Below are 20,181 nucleotides of genomic sequence, written 5' to 3' on the forward strand. Positions count from 1 at the left end.
TGGTATTTGATTTATTAGCCTGAAAACCATGGAAAGTGTATAGGCCACTAGATATATTTCTTAAATAATATAAGGGAAGCAATTTAAATGAAGCATTAAAACTTCTTGTTTTTACATTTTATTTCTCTGAGTGTGTGTGTGTGTTAGAGTCTCACTCTGTTGCCCAGGCTGGAGTGCAGTGGCACAACCTTGTCTCACTGCAACCTCTGCCTCCAGGGTTGAAGCGATTCTCCTGCCCCAGCCTCCTGAGTAGCTGGGATTACAGGCACCCACGACCATGCCCAGTTAATTTTTATACATTTAGTAGAGACACGGTTTCACCATGTTGGCCAGGCTGGTCTCAAACTCCTGACCTGAAGTGATCTGCCCATCTTGGCCTGCCAAAGTGCTGGGATTACAGGTGTGAGCCACCACACCTGGCCAGCCTCTCCAACTGATAAATGCTTAATATTAAATATTTTGCTTGACCAAAGTAGAGGGCCCTTTCAAGTATATGCCATGAGTACCCCTTTGAATCACTTTGTGGAGCTGAAACTGGATGCCTCTAAGCTCCACTCTCCCTTGCCATGCCGAGCCTTTCAGGGTCTTCTCTCCTTGAGCTCTTTTCAATTTAGAAAGGTCTTGTCACTTCAGGTAGGGAATTTAAACTGGGCCACCCCTCCCTATCACTCACATCTTTCCTATGTACCCCATAAGAAGACCAGGTGCTGGCCAGGCACGGTAGCTCAGACTTGTAATCCCAGCACTTTGGGAGACTGAGGCAGGCAGATCACCTGAAGTCAGAAGTTCAAGACCAGCCTGGTCAACATGGCAAAATCCCATCTCAACTAAAAATACAAAAATTAGCCAGGCATAGATCACACCACTGCACTCCAACCTGGGTGACAGAGTGAGACTCAGTCTCAAAAAAAAAAAAGGACGCCCCGTGCCCTCTCTTTTGTCCCTAAGCCAAATGACTTATCAAAGTACTCCTCAGTCCAAGGGAGAGCAGAACCTGTCCAATTGTTGTTAAACAAATACGGTTTCTTGCCTATAGAAAATATATTGGCTGGGTGTGGTGGCTCATGCCTATAATCCCAGCATTTTGGGAGGCCGAGGCGGGTGGATCACCTGAGGTTAGGAGTTCAAGACCAGGTTGGCCAACATGGTGAAACCCCATCTCTACTAAAAATTCAAAAGAAAAAAAAATCAGCTGGGCATGGTGGCTCACCCCTGTAATCCCAACTACTTGGGAGGCCGAGGCAGAAGAATTGCTTGAACCAGGGAGGCAGAAGTTGCAGTAAGCCGAGATCACGCCATTGCACTCCAGCCTGGGCGACGGAGCAAGACTCTGTCTCAAAAAAAAAAAAGGAAGGGAAAGGAAGGGAAAGGAAAAAAAAAAGGAACGGAAAGGAAGGGAAAGGAAGGGAAAGGAAAGGAAAGGAAAGGAAAAAGGAAAAGGAAAAGGAAAGGAAAAGGAAAGGAAAGGAAGAAAGAAAGAAAATGTATTATAAAGATGAACTGGCATAACAGTTTGTATCCCTTTCATGATTCCTGGCACTGTGACATCCCTGAAAAGCATGAGAATGCATGAAAATGCACATCTCATTTTAATGTTTATGTTTTCTCTATGGCAACATAGGAGAATGGTTTTGTAGTAATGCAAAACTCATTAATAAAGGCAAAATCCTTAGCTGCCACCCCACTGATACCCAGAAGAGGTTGATTTAAAGATCTCGACAGGACAAAAATTGTAAAACTAAGAAAGAAGACCTCTACTACCCACAGACAGCCCAGTAGCTCAAAAGCAAAGCTTCTCAACTTAGAGGAGGTGCAGACCTTCCTTCCTTCTAACTGGCAGAAAATCTGGTACTGCCAATTAGCTTCCCAGGAAAGCTAACTCTGAGATGGAATTTAGCATACAGGAGATTTATTATGAGTGTGCATAGAACCAACACCTGTGGAAAAGAAGGGCACAAAGGAACTGATTGGGCCTCAGTCAACCCTATGGGGAGTTCTAAAGACAGAATGAAAATTCAGAGCTGCTCTGAGTCAGTCAGTAAGCGAGAACTGGCCCTTTCTGTCCCCTCCATGACAATCAGTCTTTGGATGAGGCCTACCTGGGAAAGGAACATGGCCTTAGCCGAGGCAGCCCTCTTCAGCAGAGGCTGTCCCAGAAATGGGCTGACAGCTAGGGCCGTGTCGGGCAACACTTCCAGCAGCTCCTTCCTTCCGGAGGGAGGATCTAGAGCCCGTGAATCTCAGCAGCCACTGCTCGGCAATCCCTGCACCGAAATCCATCCGTGTGGGCAGTCACACAAGCTCAGGATTTCCTTCCTCTCAAAATGCCAGGAATTCTTTTATCAGATTTCTTTAACATAAGATGAAGTCCTCCAGGCATGAACACTTAAGCCTTCAGCCCTTTGGAGGGAACATTCTAGAAATAAGGTTCAGGAAATTGTCCACAAGTAGAAGCAGTCTCACCCACATAAACATGATGAAAACTCTTCCCTAGAAGTACTGACATATGCTACAATGTGGATGACCCTCAAAAACATTATGATAAGTGAAAAAAGCCAGACACAAAAGGTCACACATTATATGATTCAATATACATTAAATATCCATAGAGAGACATAACTCCAGCTGATGGCTGCTGGGGACAGGGGTGGGGGACAGAATATGAAGAACAACTGCTTAATGTATATAAAGTTTCTTTCTGGGATGATGAAAACGTTTTGAAACTGGACAAAGATGATGATTACACAACATTGTGAATGTGCTGAATGCCACTGGATCATTCATTTTAAAATGGTTACTTCCATTGTGTTTATTTATTTATTTATTTATTTATTTTTGGAGACAGTGTCTCACTCTGTTGCCCAGGCTGGAGTGCAGTGGCACCATCTAGGCTCATTGCAACCTTCCCAGGGTCCAGCGATCCTCCCGTCTCAGCTTCCTGAGTAGCTGTGACTACAGGCATGCGCCACCATGCCCAGCTAATTTTTTTATTTTTTGTAGACATGGGGTTTCACCATGTTGCCCAGGCTGGTCTTGAACTCCTGAGCTCCAGCAATCCACCCGCCTCTGCCTCACAAAGTGCTGGGATTACAGGCTTGAGCCACCACAACTGGCTAAACTGGTTAATTTTATATTATGTCAATTTCACCTCAATTAAATAAAATGGGGTAAAACATACACACACACACACACTCAAACACAAAAAATCTCTTCCCTGGGAACAGCCCACTTTATGAAAATTAATGCTCTACTGTAAGAACCTTAATTTTTTAATAACTAGGAATTACTAAAATGTTACTCTGTCTTCAGAGTAAACTTACATCACATAAGGCAAATCAGGTAAAACTATCTGTACTTAAAATCAAGCATCCTATCCATGTAGTAGGCTCTGGATAGCCAAATTATGTAAATCTGTACTTTAAACATGAGAGATAACTTCTGTCTACATGTAAAGAATATTTTCCTTCAAAAGAAGTTTGAAGTGTTATGATCATATACTCTTTAAAGTTTCTTGAAATAAAAATGATGTTTAGAGATTTCAGGGTCTCCAAAATAATTATCCGTTTGCAAAGACACCCTCCAAACAATTCAAAGATACTTGATGAAATCAATCATCTCTTATTGGTAAAATGTGAACGGTGGTATAGGAATATTTTGCTGTAATACATTTGGTGTTTGGTGACAGAAAGACAAAACAATGGTGTGAATATACTTGTTGGAAGCTAAAAAATATGTGAATTGAACTATCTTTAAACAGATAATGCTGTGCCACCACCATTTCACCACCATTACCCAGTAGAGTTCGAAGCTCTCTAAGAGAAATTTAACTTTGAAGTAAGAATAATAGTCTAAAAGCCACAAGGTACCCAGGTGCAGTGGCTCACCCCTATAATCCCAGCACTTTGGGAAGCCAAGGTGGGAAGATCATTCGAGGCCAGGAGTTCGAGACCAGCCTGGCCAACATGGTGAAACCCCCATCTCTACTAAAAATACAAAAATTAGCTGGGCATGGTGGCACATGCCTGTAATCCCAGCTACTTGGGAGGTTGAGGCATGAGAGTCACTTGAACCTAGGAAGCAGAGGTTGCAGTGAGCCAAGATCACACCACTGCATTCCAGCCTCGGTGACAGAACAAGAATCTGTCTCAAAAAAGAAAAAGGCATGAGGTAGTTAAGACACTAGGACCTTGAAAGAAGGAAAGAAACAGAAAGTGTCAGTTTAAAATTTGCCTAATATCAAAAATGTCCATTCTGAACAAGAGTCAAGCCAACTCTCCCTTCCCCCACCCTCTGTGATAAAAAGTCATTCACAAGTTGCATTGTTTTTCTGAAAGCATTCTAAATCTGAAAATGTCGAATAAATTTTCAAAGACACTAAATTTCAAAATACACTTAAAGTCAATTATTTAATAAAACTTGAAATTTTAATGTTTAATTCTCAACATTATAGTTTTCTGATTTTTCTATGTAAATACAGTTACTTCACAAGGAAAATTTTAGAATTTGAGGCAGGGCATTTTGACTTCCATACAAGAGTTTGGACTTCTACACTAAAACCAAATAATGCTTCATGTAAATATAATGTAAAACATAGGCTTTAAGTGGAAATAAATGACATGTATAGTGTGGTATGGTTGCAAACCATTGAAAGAGATGTCTTTCACGAACTTGCTCAAAATACCCAGATAGGCCGGGCACGGTGGCTCACGCCTGTAATCCCAGCACTTTGGGAGGCTGAGGCAGATGGATCACGAGGTCAGGAGATCGAGATCACGAGGTCAGGAGATCCTGGCTAACACGGTGAAAGCCCGTCACTACTAAAAATACAAAAAATTAGCTGGGCGTGGTGGCGGGCACCTGTAGTCCCAGCTACTCGGGAGGCGGAGGCAGGAGAATGTCATGAACCCGGGAGGCGGAGCTTGCAGTGAGCCGAGATCGCGCCACTGCACTCCAGCCTGGGCAACACAGCAAGACTCCATCTCAAAAAAAAAAAAAAAAAAAAACCCAGATAATCTGAAAATATATACAGATCAATGGAAAAAATTCCATTTGATATTTCTAGGCAGGATTTTAATGTGTGATAGCTGACATAGATTTCCAGTAATTGTGTATTTATTTAATTCCATTTTTTCTCACTGTACTCTAGATATTTTCTCAAACATACTTGGATTTTGGGAATTCGAATTTGTATAGTGTTAAGGTAATGCATATTTGAATTTATCTTGCTGTTTGAGAAATTTGAATTCTACCAATTACAGACAATTCTGTAATTGTCTATAACAACAGTAGGAATTGCACACTTAAAATCATTAAAATGGCAAAATTTATGTTATATATATTAGTTACACCACAATAAAGAAAAAGAACATAAAAAGGAAGAAAAAAATAAGGCTTTTTCTCTGAGAGAGAAAAAGAGAGACACAGTTTTGGTTTTCCCCCCATTGGAATATGGAGTTAAGTGCAGACCACTCAAGATACACAAATTTCTGACCAGAGCACTTACAAGTAGCAATTCCAAAATAAATACCAGTACAATAAAAAAGATGTTATATTCATCTTTATTTATTTATTTAAAAGGAAATAAATAATTTCCTGTAAAATAAAAGGATGAAAGCAGCTTGATGGCAGCAGATGTAAAGAAGGATTGAGGCTGGCCAGGCGTGGTGGCTCACGCCTGTAATCCCAGCACTTTGGGAGGCTGAGGCAGGCAGATCACGAGGTCAAGAGATTGAGACCATCGTCGCCAACATGGTGAAACCCTGTCTCTATTAAAAATACAAAAATTAGCTGGGCGTGGTGGCGCGCTTCTGTAGTCCCAGCTACTCAGGAGGCTGAGGCAGGCGAATTGCTTGAACCTGGGAGGTAGAGGTTGCAGTGAGCTGAGATCACGCCACTGCACTCCGCCTGGCGAGAGAGTGAGACTCCATCTCAAAAGAAGGATTGAGGCTGCTGAGTTAGGACGACAAAGGCAAAATGATAAACACAAGGCAGAAGGTGCTTATGCACCTCCCCCTGCCTCCAGGCTGGCCCTTGGGCTTGAAGAACTAGAAACACAAACTTGTTATCCCTCTTTCCAGAGTTCTCAAAATACAAGGATGCTAAGTCATGCTCACAAACTCGCCAGAAGCTGAAATACACAGCCTAGACTAACACAAAACTCCCAGCATGGCTGAAAATGCCTAGGGCCAGAATAGTCCAGTATTTCCCTTCAGGCAAAGTTGCACAGCAAATCAAAGTTTTAGATTTGTTTTTGACAGGGATTCAGAGGAAAAGGAGATGGTTTAATGAATTTAGCTCTGAGAGTCTCATGCATCATTTTACAAGAGAGGAATGTGCATGCCAAGCAAACCAAATGTTTGTAGCCTATGGCTGAGTCGTATCTCTTATGGCCTGTGGTCGGTGCACATGCTCATGGTGGTCACATGGGCTTCTCATATGCTATCATGGTGGACCAGTCTCCCACTGTGAGCCCCATCTTTGTGTTCACATTCATATTTTCAACCACCTTAAAATTACTGCTTGCTCTGAAATGACAGGTTAAAAGGTTATAAAGAAGATTTAGGTTTCAAATTTGTTCTAAAATACTTATAAATCAAGGGGGACAGATAGACAAATTTGTAAAAATATAGATTATTGGGGGTGATGGGTACTATTACACTATTCTCTTTAGCCTGTGTTTGAGAAATTCCATTAAAAATTTTCAAAATAATCTCTTCATTGTCCTTGGTGCTGGTCTGTCTCTCTCAGTACAGGGCAGGGGTCGGGGCTCTGAAGCCAAACTCCTTTGGTTCCAATGCCACTTCTGCCATGTGCTGAGATCTTGAACAAGTTTCTTGACCTGTTCATGCCAGTTTCCTCAACTGTAAAATGCTGGTAATAATGAAACTACCTCACAGAGTTTTTGTAAGGCTAAAATGAGATAATGCATGGAAAGGGCTTAGCAGTGTCAGGCATATAGTAATCACCTAATAAATGCTAGCTATTGTTACCCAAAATATTTTGCAATTTTTTTTTTTGAGACGGGGTCTCGCCCTGTCACCCAAGCTGGAGTGTAGTGGCACAATCTCAGCTCACTGCAACCTCCGCCCCCAGGTTCAAGCGATTCTTGTGCCTCAGCCTGCTAAGTAGCTGGGATTATTAGCATGCACCACCACAACTGGCTAATTTTTGTATTTCTTTCTTTCTTTTTTTTTTTTTAGTAGAGAGAAGGTTTCACCATGTTGGCCAGGCTGGTCTTGAACTCTTGACCTCAGGTGATCTGCCTGCCTTGGCCTTCCAAAGTGCTAGGATTACAGATGTTTTGATTCCATAGTTTAATTAATTCTGTGGGCAATTTATTTCGGCATTCCAATTTGAACACACAAGCCCACTATGAGGCCCATTCTCTCTCTCTCTCTCTCTCTCTCTCTCTCACACACACACACACACACACACACACACACACACACACTCTGTCCCTGCTCTCTCTCTCTCATTTGCTTGCTCATCAAAACATCTGCTCTGTATCTCACTGAAATATCTGTCTTCTGTTTCATTCCTCCAAGTAAAATGGTAACAACGCGTTAGAAAGAGTTGCATAGGCCAGACATGGTGGTTCACGCCTATAATCCCAGCAGTTTGGGAGGCTGAGGCAGGCAGATCACCTGAGGTCAGGAGTTCGAGACCAGCCTGGCCAACACGGTGAAACCTCATCTCTACTAAAAATACAAAAATTAGCTGGGCATGGTGGTGGGCGCCTGTAAACCCAGCTACTTGGGAGGCTGAGACAGGAGAATTGCTTCAAGCCAAGAGGCAGAGGTTGCAGTGAGCTGAGATTGTACCACTGCACTGCAGCCTGGGCAACAGAGTGAGAAAGGAAGAAAGGAAGAAAGGAAGAAAGAAAGAAAAGAAAGAAAGAAAAAGAAAGAAAGAGAGAAAGAAAGAAAGAAAGAGAAAGAAAGAAAGAAAGAGAAAGAAAGAGAGAAAGGAAGGAAGGGAAAAGAAAAGAAAGAAGGAAGGAAGGAAAGAGGGAGGGAGGGAAGGAAGGAAGGAAAGAAAGAAGGAAAGAAAAGAAGGAAAGAAGGAAGAAAAGAAAGAAAGGAACAAGGAAGGAAGGAAGAAGAAAAGAAAGAAAGAAAGAAAGAAAGAAAGAAAGAAAGAAAGAAAGAGAAAGAAAGAAAGAAAGAAAGGGAAATGAAAAGAATTGGATAAAAGCATCCATTTACCCCAATTCCCCTAATGTCCATACCAGCCTACCTCCACTTCACAATCAATCCCATTGAAACTAATCCAGATTCAATGTCTCACAGCTAAATCTCGCAGCAAGTCTTACCTACCTGAGGACTTTATCTTCCTCCTCATCTTTTACTATAAACTCTAATTGAACCTCTCTACTTCTCCGTATTTTTGTATTTCTTAAATCATCAAGGATTTTTAAAAGGCTTCAGTAAAACCAGAAATAGGCTGTTCCTCTCTTCTTGGTTCATCTGAGAACAGGAAGCCAGACATCTAACAAAATAGCCTTTGATAGACAGCTTTTCATGCAGAAGGTAAAATTACAGGGTAAGAAATTCTAACTTACATCTACTGTGAATCACTTACAGAAATGACTCTTTTTCTTCAAATCCTTGCTATTTAAGTCCATGATAATCATTTGCATTTGAAAAAGCTGACTCTGTTGAGTCATACTTAGAACTACAAACTCTGACTAAACTTGTAACTCAGTCCAGAGAAATGAAAACAAAAGCCAAATGGTCCAAAATATGCAAGAGAAACAAGGAATATTGTTTTTACTTTGCTGATTTGTTTGAGTTTTTTTCCAAATTTACCAACTGGATATAATTTCCCCACTCAAAGCATATGAACTCAGGTACAACAATGCTATAGAATAATTGGATGACATTGTCCATTTCTTGCAACCCTCCGTTGACCCAGTTGGCTTATGCTAGAGCTGACTAACTGGTAATGCTAACCCAGCATGGGAGGCTGACCAGGGGTACAGGGGTCTTCCTAGGGCCTGCAGAGCAGAATCCAGGTCAGAAGGCAATAGCTTTACACCATCAAACATATATTCTATTTGGGACCTGGTCTTCCACTCTCTCTGCCACACTCATGAACCACCATAAACTACAGGAGGCTCAGTGCAAACTCCCTCCTGTTTCTCCCCAGTAAATTTTATATGTAGTCAGCTCACTCTTCCCCATGTTACCCCCATCCAAATAATTCATTTTGGGCTCAATAATTGCTAGTTTTGATGTAGCATACCTTTCTTGAATACGGTTTAGAATCTTCCTGCTGGTTGGTCTTATTTCAATAGATGCCTTCTTTGCTGAAATGAAATCCTTGTAAACAAGGAGTGCAGAAGAAATACCAAAGCAAAAAACTAAAGCTCAAGTTGAAGCTTTGCAACCAGGTCTTGAATCCTAAGAAGGCACTGCTCAGACGGGCTGGTGTTCCACAACCAACCACAATTATTTGAATACAAATAATTCATTCATAATTCATGAGGCCATTTTCATTTTACACATTTTAAACCTTTACACCTTTTAGTTGGGGAACTTCTAAACTTACCCAAGATTGAGAGACTAGTAGAATTAACCATATAATGTATAATATAGCTGCAGACAGATAATGTATAATGTATCTGCCACCCAGCTTAGACAATTATTACCATGTTGCCAATCTCATTTCACCAACCCCCCTTCCTCCATTTTTTTAAGTTGGAATATTTTAAAGTAAATCCTAGAAATCAACATTTCTTAAATAAAAAATAATAACAACTGCCATGCCATTATCACGTTGAATAAAATGACCAGTAATTTTGCATACAAATTCCTCCGCTGTCTCAATGCCTTCACAAGAGCGAGTAAGTGGTAGAAGCTGGGATTCGAACCCAAGCAGTTGGACTCCAGTGCACTCTAAAATCTGTACTTCATGGAAAGAGAGAATCCAACAAGAGCCCTGAAGGAACTGGCAGAAAAGGGCAAAATAAGCAGAGAGAAACAGGATGCCAGGAAGCAGCAAGCAGAAAGGTCAGTAACCTCAGCAAAGGGTGGCCTCAGTCAAGAAGGGGATTTCAAGATATTTCCTATTGCGGAACTGAAGACCTCAAGGAGAACAAGTCTGAAGGCTGCAGACAAGAACAGGTGGTGGGCCTACCTATCTTGGAGTGGGGAGGAGACCTCTGTAAGGCAATGTGAATGCTGATGGCATCAGGACTTGGCAAATCTTAAGACTCTGACTCCCACCAGGCAGAACGCAGGACTGCCTCTCACTAGACTGAGCCACGGCTGCTTGAAAGCTGAAACTAACCCACAGAGGGCCTTGGTTACCATACAAATCAGAAATAGTGTTGTCCAGGATAAGATCCAAAATAGCCTAGAGATTTGGCTGTCTTAAAACATGGGCTCAGTAATCGCTAGTTTTGACGTAGCATACCTTTCCTGAATATGGTTTAGAATCTTCCCGCTGGTTGATCTTATTTCAATAGATGGCTCCTTTGCTGAAATGAAATCCTTGTAAACAAGGAGTGCAGAAGAAATACCAAAGGAAGAAACTAAAGCTCAAGTTGAAGCTTTGCAAGCAGGTCTTGCATCCTAAGAAGCCACTGCCCAGACAGGCTGGTGTTCCAAAACTAACCACAAGGTGGCACTGCTTTGAGCCAAGCCCCAGGTCATGTTAAAAAATGAATGAGATCAATGGTGAAGTTTTACAGTTGCAGAATAGCCAAATGGCAGCCATGAAAAGAAACCCCTTAGACCTCCTGCTACAGGAAACAAAATTGATTGGCTGTGGGTCCCAGCTGCTGCCCCTCTCCATCCATCACTGCCTTCCCCTCGGGCTGCTCCTGGCCTGTGACAAGCACAGCCCTGCTGTCCATCTAGGCTATTCCCTTGGGACAAGGGTGGTTCCCATGGGTGACTTTGCCTTGAGGACTTCCCATCTGCCTGGCCCTCTCTTTCTTGGACTGTACTGCAGTCTGTGATATTTTTTTTTCCTACCCAATTCCCTTCCTCCTCTCTCTCCTTCACAGTTGTCAGAACTTCATTATAGCTCTATTCAGGAGTGGCCCCGTGATGGTGGAGATGGAAAATCTTTCTAATGGGCAGCGTGTGAGAGTGCAACTGGTATCTACAATGGAATGAAAAGTGGCCCGAGATGAGAATATATACAGTGGCCAGGAAACAAGGTCTGGGGTAGAGGATTACGGATGAGCCCAGGGGAGTGGGCGCTCCAGGGGAGTGTCATTTCCGCCTCCCACGTTAATGTCCCCAGAATGCAATCCTCATGGAAGAGGTGTAGAACAACCAAGCAGTCAAGAAAACTCAGCCAGTTGATAGCTGGACTTCATCACCGGCCAGCCCAGAACTGGTGTGACAGGCACAGTGATGGAGGCAGGCTGTAGACGGCCCATTAGCATGGACTCCCTGTTAACCAAGGTCAACGGAGCTGTCACTGCCCCTGCATGTCCAACCTTCCTGCAACACAGATCATTGCTGAGCCCTGAAGTGGCATTGCTCTTTAAGGAGACCAATGGGCCACAGGACGGCCAGTCGACAAGTGGCAGGCTCCAGATGTAATTGCTCCTCTGTTCTGAGAAAATGGATCTGGGTCCTCTAAGTTGTTCCCCTGAGCCAGCGGGCTCTGAAGCTTTGTTGGGAGAGGGTGATGGAGAGACATTGGAGGAGGAAGAGGGTTTTGCTTCCTGACCCGTGCAGTGCAGACTGCTTCACAGGAGTGCTAAGGAGCACCAGCTTCCCAGCACCTCCCTCAGGGGGTTTTGCATCAGAGGCCTCTGGTAGGACACTTCTCTGTACAGTTTTCCCCAGGATGCCAGAGGGCAGGTTTCTAGCAAGTTCCACCAGCAGAGCACCACAGTGACTTCTCTGCCCTCCACTGATTCACAGCCATGCCCTCCCTACTCAATCTGGGTGTCAGCCCCAGGGGTGCTATGGAGGGCTCTTCTTTTTTTTTTTTTTTTCGAGACAGGGTCTTACTCTGTCACCTAGGCTGGAGTGCAATGGTGCAATCTTGGCTCACTGCAATCTCCGCCCTCAGGTTCAAGTGATTCTCCTGCCTTAGCTTCACTAGTAGCTGGGACTACAGACGCCCGCCACCAGGCCGGCTAATTTTTTGTATTTTTCATAGAGACGGGGTTTCACCATGTTGGCCAGGCTGGTCTCAAACTCCTGATCTCAGATGATCTGCCCACCTCAGCCTCCCAAAGTGCCGGGATTCCAGGCATGAGTCACTGCGCCCAGCCAAGGTTCTTCTTTGAGCTCTCAGTCTTAGTCCTAGTGGTGCAGGCTACTCCTGATATCTGCTATTCTCATGTTCAAGTTCTTTTTACTTCCTACTAGCCAGTCCTTCACTACTCCAATCTGCTGTGATAATCACTCTTCACTTTTAACTTGCCCTGTTCAAATTGCTGTGTGGTTTCTGCGTCACTCCTCATAGTGACAGATACCTCTTCCAGGCAAGAGTTTGTCTTTCCTGCCTGCAGGGACTCAGACACCATGACTATCTGGGGGCTATAGAAAGCCTGAACCATAGGCATGGAATCCCATGGGGCATAGCATCCAATCAGGTGACTCACCTCCCAGTGAAGGAGACGAAAGAGTGAGCCCCTGGTTGTGGAACCACTGTGTATCCACACCCCGCACCATCCATAGGCAGCCAGCCTCATAGAGGGCTTGAACAACCAAGACCCAGCTGAAGGGCCAGGATGGAGTGCTTGCTGTCTTCAAAGATGCATGTCCCCAGTAGGTTTGGGACCATGTCTGGGATCCGGTAGATGAAACTGGGAGTGGCCCTGCATTCCATCATTCCCAATGATCTGCTGCAGGATTTAAGGAGAATAGCAGCACTGGAAATCCTGGTGCCAAAGAGGGAGGCTCTTGCCAGGGGACATAAGGTCCCAGTGAGCTACAAACTATGACTGATGCTGGAACTGATCTCTGAACTCCCTTTGTCCAGGCACCAGCAGGAGGAGAGAGAGTTACTTTTACACTGTAGAGAATCCACATGACCCACTGAGCGCCTGCTGGTATTCCTGTGGGCCACTGTAAATGTCAATGCATACTTTCAGCAAGCCTGTCTTAAGAAAGCATCACTTTGCTGCAATCTGAGATGCCTCCTGCCCAATCCTCTCTCCCCTCTCTTTTACAGGGGTCAGCCTTGCAGCATGGTCTGAAGGCCATCGCTGCCTTCTCTGGCTCCCTGCCCTTATCCTTCATGGGCCTGGTACCCAATAAGTGTCATGCAAATCTCATTATGTCTGGGCACCTGCTTTTCAGAGGACCTGAACATAAGCCACAAAGCATAAGATTAGTGTGGGGGAGGTATAATGTTCACAAGGGTCATCTTTATCAACAAACTCTTTTTACATAAATATAGAATTTTCATTTTGTTTCCTGTCTTTCAGTTATATGCCGTGGACATCATGGCCTTATCCTTTATAGCACTCGTGTTCTCTCTCTTTCTCTCAATCTCTCCCTACTGTAAGCTCAGTAAGGACAAGATACATGTGTATTTTTTCACCATTGCATGTCTGACTCCTAGCATAATGCTAAATACATAGTAGGTGCTCCAAATTATTAAGCCTATTCAAGAACAGTCACTCTACAACAAAATTTACTAAGCGTAGTTGCAAAAGTACATTATTGACAGGATACTATTATGATGTACATAAGAGTCCTGGATAATAAATTCATAATTCTAAAAATATAGATAATGACCAGCTGTCCAGTGATAGTCTAAGAAGAAGCTCTAATAAGCAGTTGTACCTAAGTTTAGTGCTACATAGGCAGGTTCTGTCCCTTAAGCAGAAATAACTGGCAACGCTATGGAGATTTAAGGAGTCGATGGCAGTCATTAACACAGGTCATGTGAAAGCAAGCCCTGCCTTTTCCATCTTCTCCACCAACCTGTATTAGGGCCACTTTTCCCTCTAACATGGTTTGTAATTCTCAGTTGTTATGATATTATCAGTTCCAGAAGGCCACTGTTAAAGGGCTATCTGGGAGGAAAATGAAGCTTTCTGATCTTCCCACATTATTAGTATGAGCACAAAATTGAAGGACACACTCACTCTCAGGGGCAATTCTGCACTGGCACAAACCTGACAATGGAGAATAGCTCCTTAAATGCTGCACCCTGGGCACCTCATTAGCCTCTCCCTCGTGCTAGCCCTGCTTGGGAGCATGAGAAAGCTGCAGATTCTGGGTCCCAAACCCCAGAGCTTGGTAACTCACACACTTTAAAATGAGGGTAAATGACAGGCCGGGCGTGGTGGCTCTCACCTGTAATCCCAGCAATTTGGGAGGCCAAAGCGGGCAGATCACTTAAGGTCAGGAGATCAAGACCAGCCTGGCCAATATGGTGAAACACCATCTCTACTAAAAATACAAAAATTGGCCGGGCGTGGTGGTGCACACCTGTCATCCCAGCTACGCAGGAGGCTGAAGCAGCAGAATCACTTGAACCCAGGAGGTGGAGGTTGTGGTGAGCCGAGATTATGCTACTGCACTCCAGCCTGGGTGACAGAGTGAGACTCCATCTTAAAAATAAATAAATAAATAAATAAATAAAGTGAGTGTTAATGATAAAAAAAAGAAAATAGCTACTTCACCTCAGATACTTGAAAGAACTTTGATTAAGACAAAGAATGAACATATTCAATCTGCTAAAGGCATTTCTTCAATAAGGGTCTAACTATCAGACTGGAGCCACGGAAGGCAGAATATGGAACCCTAATACATTTGCATGCAACTGAAATTTTGTTTTTGCCTACAAAAGGAGATACATGGAAAAAAGGGAATACTTTGGACAGAAAATCAAGACACAAATCAGGCACTGCCAAAAATAAATCACATAAAACTTTTTCTTTGAATTAAGAGAATTTATACAAATTTGACTTCATAAACAAAAGAAACTATACATCAATAATTACCATAAGGCATTATTGCTCCTAAAGTATTTGCCACCAAAAATAAGTCATTGTATAATTCTAATTTTAATAATCTTAATTACGACACAATTTAGGTTTATTTTCTACCTTTATAATTTTGTTGTTGTTGTTTGTTTTTGTTTTTTGGGTTTTTTTTGAGATGCAGTCTCACTCTGTAGCCCAGGCTGGACTGCAGTAGCATGATCTCAGCTCACTGCAACCTCTGCTTCCTGGGTTCAAGCGATCCTCCTGCCTCAGCCTCCCAAGTACCTGGGACTACAGGTGTGTGCCACCACACCCGACTAATTTGTGTTTTTGTTTTTGTTGTTTTTCAGTAGAGACAGGGTTTTACCATGTTGGCCAGCCTGGTCTTGAACTCCTGACCTCAACTGACCCGCCTACCTCGGCCTCCCAAAGTGCTGGAATTACAGGCGTGAGCCACTGCGTCTGGCCTCTACCTTTACAATTAAATAATAAAATCTTCTGGGAGTTCATGATCCCTAGAATTATCATTGATTTAAAATTATTCCATTTTTCAAATACTTTTCTTAGAAATAAAAAGTAAAGTCATTAAAATATGTTAATTTCTGTTACTTATACATTTTTAAATCATAGGTTAAAAGACTCTGATTGGGACATAAGACTGTATATATTTCAGGAATAGTTTTTCCATAGATATAATTAATAACACTTAAAAATAAGAAAAATGTTTTCCATACCAACTATAAGCTTTTAAAAAGTACAGAAGCATATCCTCAAGATGTGAAGGCACTGGGGGATGGAGGACACCTTGTTTCCTCAGCTCAGAGCTTAGCTTTCTCCTTAAAGGTCTCCTTCATCTTTTTGACAACAGAAAGGTCCCCTGCTCCCTTGGGCCAGTTGTCATGATCTGTTAAAGAAGTGGAAAGCCTCCTGTCACTTGCAAATCTCATTTGCCCTCTTCACTCCCACCAAATCCTCTTGTTAATTTCCCTGGTTCACACATTTTCTCAGCACCAAAAAATAAATCCTTAGGGCAAACATTTGAGAAAAGACTTCAATTTGAATCTCAGGTCTGCCACACGTTAGCTTTCCTGAATTTGGGCACATGTCTCTTCCTGAGCCTCAGTTTCCTCCTCTATTAAAGGATACAACAATATCTACCTTTTAAAGTTGTGAGGGTTAAATATGACACCATGTGTGCAGTGCTTCGCATACTGTGGATCGTCAATAAATAGTGTCTCCTTAATAATCACAATTTAAAAATAGTGTCCTTACTTTGTACCAGGCACTGCTACTTGCCTCTCCAGCATCCAGGTCCCCATCTCTTCTTTCCAACAGCTTGTTTCCATTTAACGATCTAGAAGGTGCCAGGGAAGCTTGGCACCAAGGCATGTGGTCTAAGCTAAGTCAGTCAGTGCACTATAACCCCGCCACAGTTATTGGTTGGAAATGGACATTTGCATAAGTTGATCGAATATAGAGTGGATCTCAGAATTTTGTTAGAAATTCTGGAACAAAGTCACTCCTCCAGCCCTCTCTCTGTGCATCTGGGTATGAACACAGAAGTATCAGCCTTACACATAGAAACAGCAGGCAGCCATCCTGCAATGAGGAGAGCCTGCCTTAAGATAGAGCCAACACCATGGAGGCAAAAACAGGAAACAGGGGAAAAACTTGTCCTTGATGAGATCAGTGAGCTACTAAGTCAAGTCTTACCTGTTTTTCAGTTATGTGCCAGCGAATTCCTTTACTGATGAGCCCATTTTGAGTTGTGACTAAAAGCATCCAATTCGACAAATGACTTTATTTTTTTAATTTTTATTTTTTGAGACAGGGTCTTGCTCTGTCAGCCAGGCTGGAGTGCAGTTGTGCAATCATGGCTCACTGCAACCTCGACTTCCCGGGCTCCAGTGATCCTCCCACCTAAGCCTCCCAAGTACAGGCACATGCCACCATGCCAGGCTAATTTTTTAAATGTTTTGTTGAGACGGAGTTTTGCCAGGTTGCCCAGGCTGGTCTTGAATTCCTGGGATCAAGCAATTGGCCCACCTTTGCCTCCCAAAGTGCTGAGATTACAGGTGTGAGCCATGGTGCCCAGCCCCTGACATAGGGATTTAAATGTGCATTATCTAAGGCCAGGCACAGTGGCTCATGCCTGTAATCCCAGCACTTTGGGAGGCCGAGGCAGGCGGATCACCTGAGGTCAGGAGTTCGAGACTAGCCTGGCCAACATAGTGAAACTCCATCTCTACTAAAACTACAAAAAAATTAGTGGGGCATAGTGTCGGGCACCTGTAATCCCAGCTACTCTGGATCCTGAGGCAGGAGAATTGCTTGAACCTGGGAGGCAGAGATTGCAGTGAGCCGAAATCATGTCACTGCACTCCAGCCTGGGCAACAAGAGTGAGACTCTGTCTCAAAAAAAAAGAAAAGAAAAAGTCCCTTATCTAATTTAATCCTCCCAACAGCTCTATGAAATAAATACTGTATGTGTCCCTGCATACAGGAACAAAATAGAGGCTTATAGAAATTAACTTTCTCACAATCATACGGCTAATAAGGGTAGAGCCAAGTTTCCATCTTAGGCATTCTCACCTTGGAGCTGCCAATCTTAAAAGAAAACACCATAGTGAAAGGCTGAATAATCTCATTATTCGGGGGGCAGTATATTCTTAAAAGATAGATGTACCCGCTTTCCTCAAAAACTGAAAAAAATATTTTTAATGATAAAAAGTGTTAGAATTACAAAAGAAAATCATGTCACTGAAGGCCTAAGGAAGAAGCTATTTGAAATTTCTTTCCCTTCTAAAGGTAAAACAGTGCAACCTGCGATAAGAAATAGTGACTGAAGTCTACTGTGAGAGAAGTGGAAAGATTCTCTCCACCCTCACTACTTGGAATTTTTTTCAGAAAACAATATGGCAAAACCATGTAGGTATTTCTTCTTTCCAACCAAGACCCTTAAAACTACAGTATCCTATGGACATCACCACATTGATGTTATTAGTAATGAAATACATGTGGGAGGGGAAAATAATAAGTAAAATTAAAGTTCTATACTGTGATATTGTGAAACATATATTTGGTCTTCAACCCCATCTCCCGCATACAACTCCTAATATCCTAGACTCGCCAAAGTGATGTGTTCTTATATGTTAATGATTGACTGATGGCTGGCAGCCCCTAGTTAGCTTCAGTATAGGGGCTGGTCACCAGACAGACCAAGGCATGATTACAGGGTTGGGACCTTCAGCCCATACCCACCCCACAACCTCTGGGGAGGTAAGAGGGGCTGAAGGTTAAGTTGATCACCAGTGGCTGATGGTTTAATCAACCATGCCTATGTAATGAAGCCTCCATAAAAACCCAAAGGACTGGGTTCAAGAGCTTCCAGATAGCTGAACACATGAAGGTTCCTGGCAGGTGGTGGGGCCAAAAAGGACACAGAAGCTACGTGCCCCTTCTCACATGCCTTGCCCTGTGCACCCCTTCGGCTGTATCTCCTGTAATATCCTTTATCATAAACCAGTAAATCGAAGTGTTTTCCTGAGTTGTGTGAGCTGCTCTAGCAAATTACTCCAACCCAAAGAGGGGGTCGTGGGAACCCCAACTTGAAGCTAGTCAGTCAGAAGTTTTAGAGGCCCAGACTTGTGATGGTGTCCAAAGCAGGGGGCATCCTGTGGGACTGAGCCCTCAGCCTGTGGGATCTGATCCTATCTCCAGTGTCAGAACTGAATGAGAGGACGCCCAGCTGGGGTCTGCTGCAGAACTGCTTGCTTGGTTGCTGTGCGGGGGAAGTAACCCCAAACAACTGGTCACAGAAGTCTTCCGTGCTAATGGTTGTTGTGTTGTGAGAGCAGAGGAAAACCAGTTTGAGTTTTTGCTCGCCTCTCACATACACCAATCATTTATTAACGCAAAAAAGGCCTTAAGCCTTGATCAGACTGTCAGCACCTGAAAGAGTACGTAGACCCTGGGTCCTTGATATGAAATTCAGATTCACCTGGGTTACATCAACCATCTATTAATTTGCTAGTAGCCACTTAATTATCTTTAACAACAGAAATTCAATACATTTGCATTTTATACCCTTTACTACATTTTTGGAGTGATTTAGAGTTATTAGCTTAGATAAACCTTTTAACGTCTGTGGATTTGTTTTGTTGTTTATAAAACTAGGATACTGGACTTTGTGATCTTTTAGGACCCTTCAAACCGCAAAGTTCTGTTATCTAGTCATGAGACACACACACACATAAAGGCATTTGCATGTAATATCAATATTTGATTTAAACTTATAAAACTTCTGGTTTTTTTTCTTGAGACAGAGTCTTGGTTTATCTCCCAAGCTGGAGTGCAGTGGCATGATCTTGGCTCACTGCAATCTCCGCCTCCTGGGTTTACGTGATTCTCCTACCTCAGCCTCCCAAGTAGCTGAGACTACAGGTGCCCGCCACCACACCCGACTAACTGTTATATATATACATACGTATATGTGTATATATATATACACATACGTATATGTGTATATATATATACATACGTATATGTGTATATATATATACACATACGTATATATGTATGTGTATATATATATACACATACGTATATATGTATGTATATATATACACATACATATATATGTATGCGTATATATATATATTTTTTTTTGAGATAAGAGTCTCACTCTGTCGCCCAGGCTAGAGTGCAGTGGCACAATCTCGGCTCACTGCAACCTCCGCCTCCCGGGTTCACACCATTCTCCTGCCTCAGCCTCCCAAGTAGCTGGGACTACAGGCACCCGCCACCAAGCCTGGCTAATTTTTTTGTATTTTTAGTAGAGACGGGGTTTCACTGTGTTAACCAGGCTGGTCTCTATCTCCTGACCTCAAGTGATCCACTTGCCTCAGCCTCCCAAAGTGCTGGGATTACAGGCATGAGCCACCATACCCGGCCAAATTTCTGTTTTTGTACATCAAAAATGATGAATACAGAAATTTCATATGCCTTCATTCAATATATATCTCAAAGAGAGCACAAAATAGCACCATAGCACCCCACCCCACCTAGCAGGCCTGATTCTTCTGCTCAGATATGTAAGCCATTTACTGGAGGAACAAAATGGAATTAAATCTTTAAAACTATAGCATGCTCTTGCCTCTTTTCTGTCTCCTCTTTCGAAACATATACTGAGAATATTTTTCAGGGTTCAAATTCCACCAACCTATGCATGCACAAAAAGCTCAGTTCCATAATATAGATAGTTAGATATT

The 20,181-nt window shown here is 42.9% G+C and overlaps 2 protein-coding genes across 7 annotated transcripts in view, besides 1 other annotated feature; both read right to left on the reverse strand.

Moving 5' to 3' along the window:
• The window catches only part of MREG (melanoregulin), a 94,789-nt gene extending 84,238 nt beyond the window's left edge, over positions 1–10,551 (reverse strand). The window contains exon 1 of one of the 2 annotated variants that reach the window (NM_001372189.1): positions 10,417–10,551. The gene's annotated coding sequence lies outside the window, so the exon portion shown is untranslated. Of the gene's footprint in view, positions 1–10,137; positions 10,260–10,416 lie in introns of those variants that run through there. The other variant, NM_001372190.1, reaches the window with a different exon arrangement.
• Positions 5,543–20,181, reverse strand: part of PECR (peroxisomal trans-2-enoyl-CoA reductase) — a 52,722-nt gene continuing 38,083 nt past the window's right edge. For 2 of the 5 annotated variants that reach the window (NM_018441.6, XM_047445108.1), the window contains one exon: positions 14,843–15,815. In NM_018441.6, the coding sequence (NP_060911.2) occupies positions 15,730–15,815 (86 nt within the window). In that variant the 3' untranslated portion in view covers positions 14,843–15,729. Of the gene's footprint in view, positions 9,308–14,842; positions 15,816–20,181 lie in introns of those variants that run through there. The other 3 variants (XR_007078553.1, XR_007078552.1, XR_001738847.3) reach the window with 3 other exon arrangements.
• Positions 8,710–8,939: an enhancer, noted in NCBI's record as "active region_17083". NCBI's record gives its function as "activates an Ori minimal core promoter by ATAC-STARR-seq in GM12878 lymphoblastoid cells {active_cell/tissue: GM12878}" and the evidence as "EXISTENCE:reporter gene assay evidence [ECO:0000049][PMID:35858748]".

This window comes from Homo sapiens, chromosome 2, assembly GCF_000001405.40.
Source record: "Homo sapiens chromosome 2, GRCh38.p14 Primary Assembly".
Classification (NCBI taxonomy): Eukaryota; Metazoa; Chordata; class Mammalia; order Primates; family Hominidae; genus Homo; species Homo sapiens.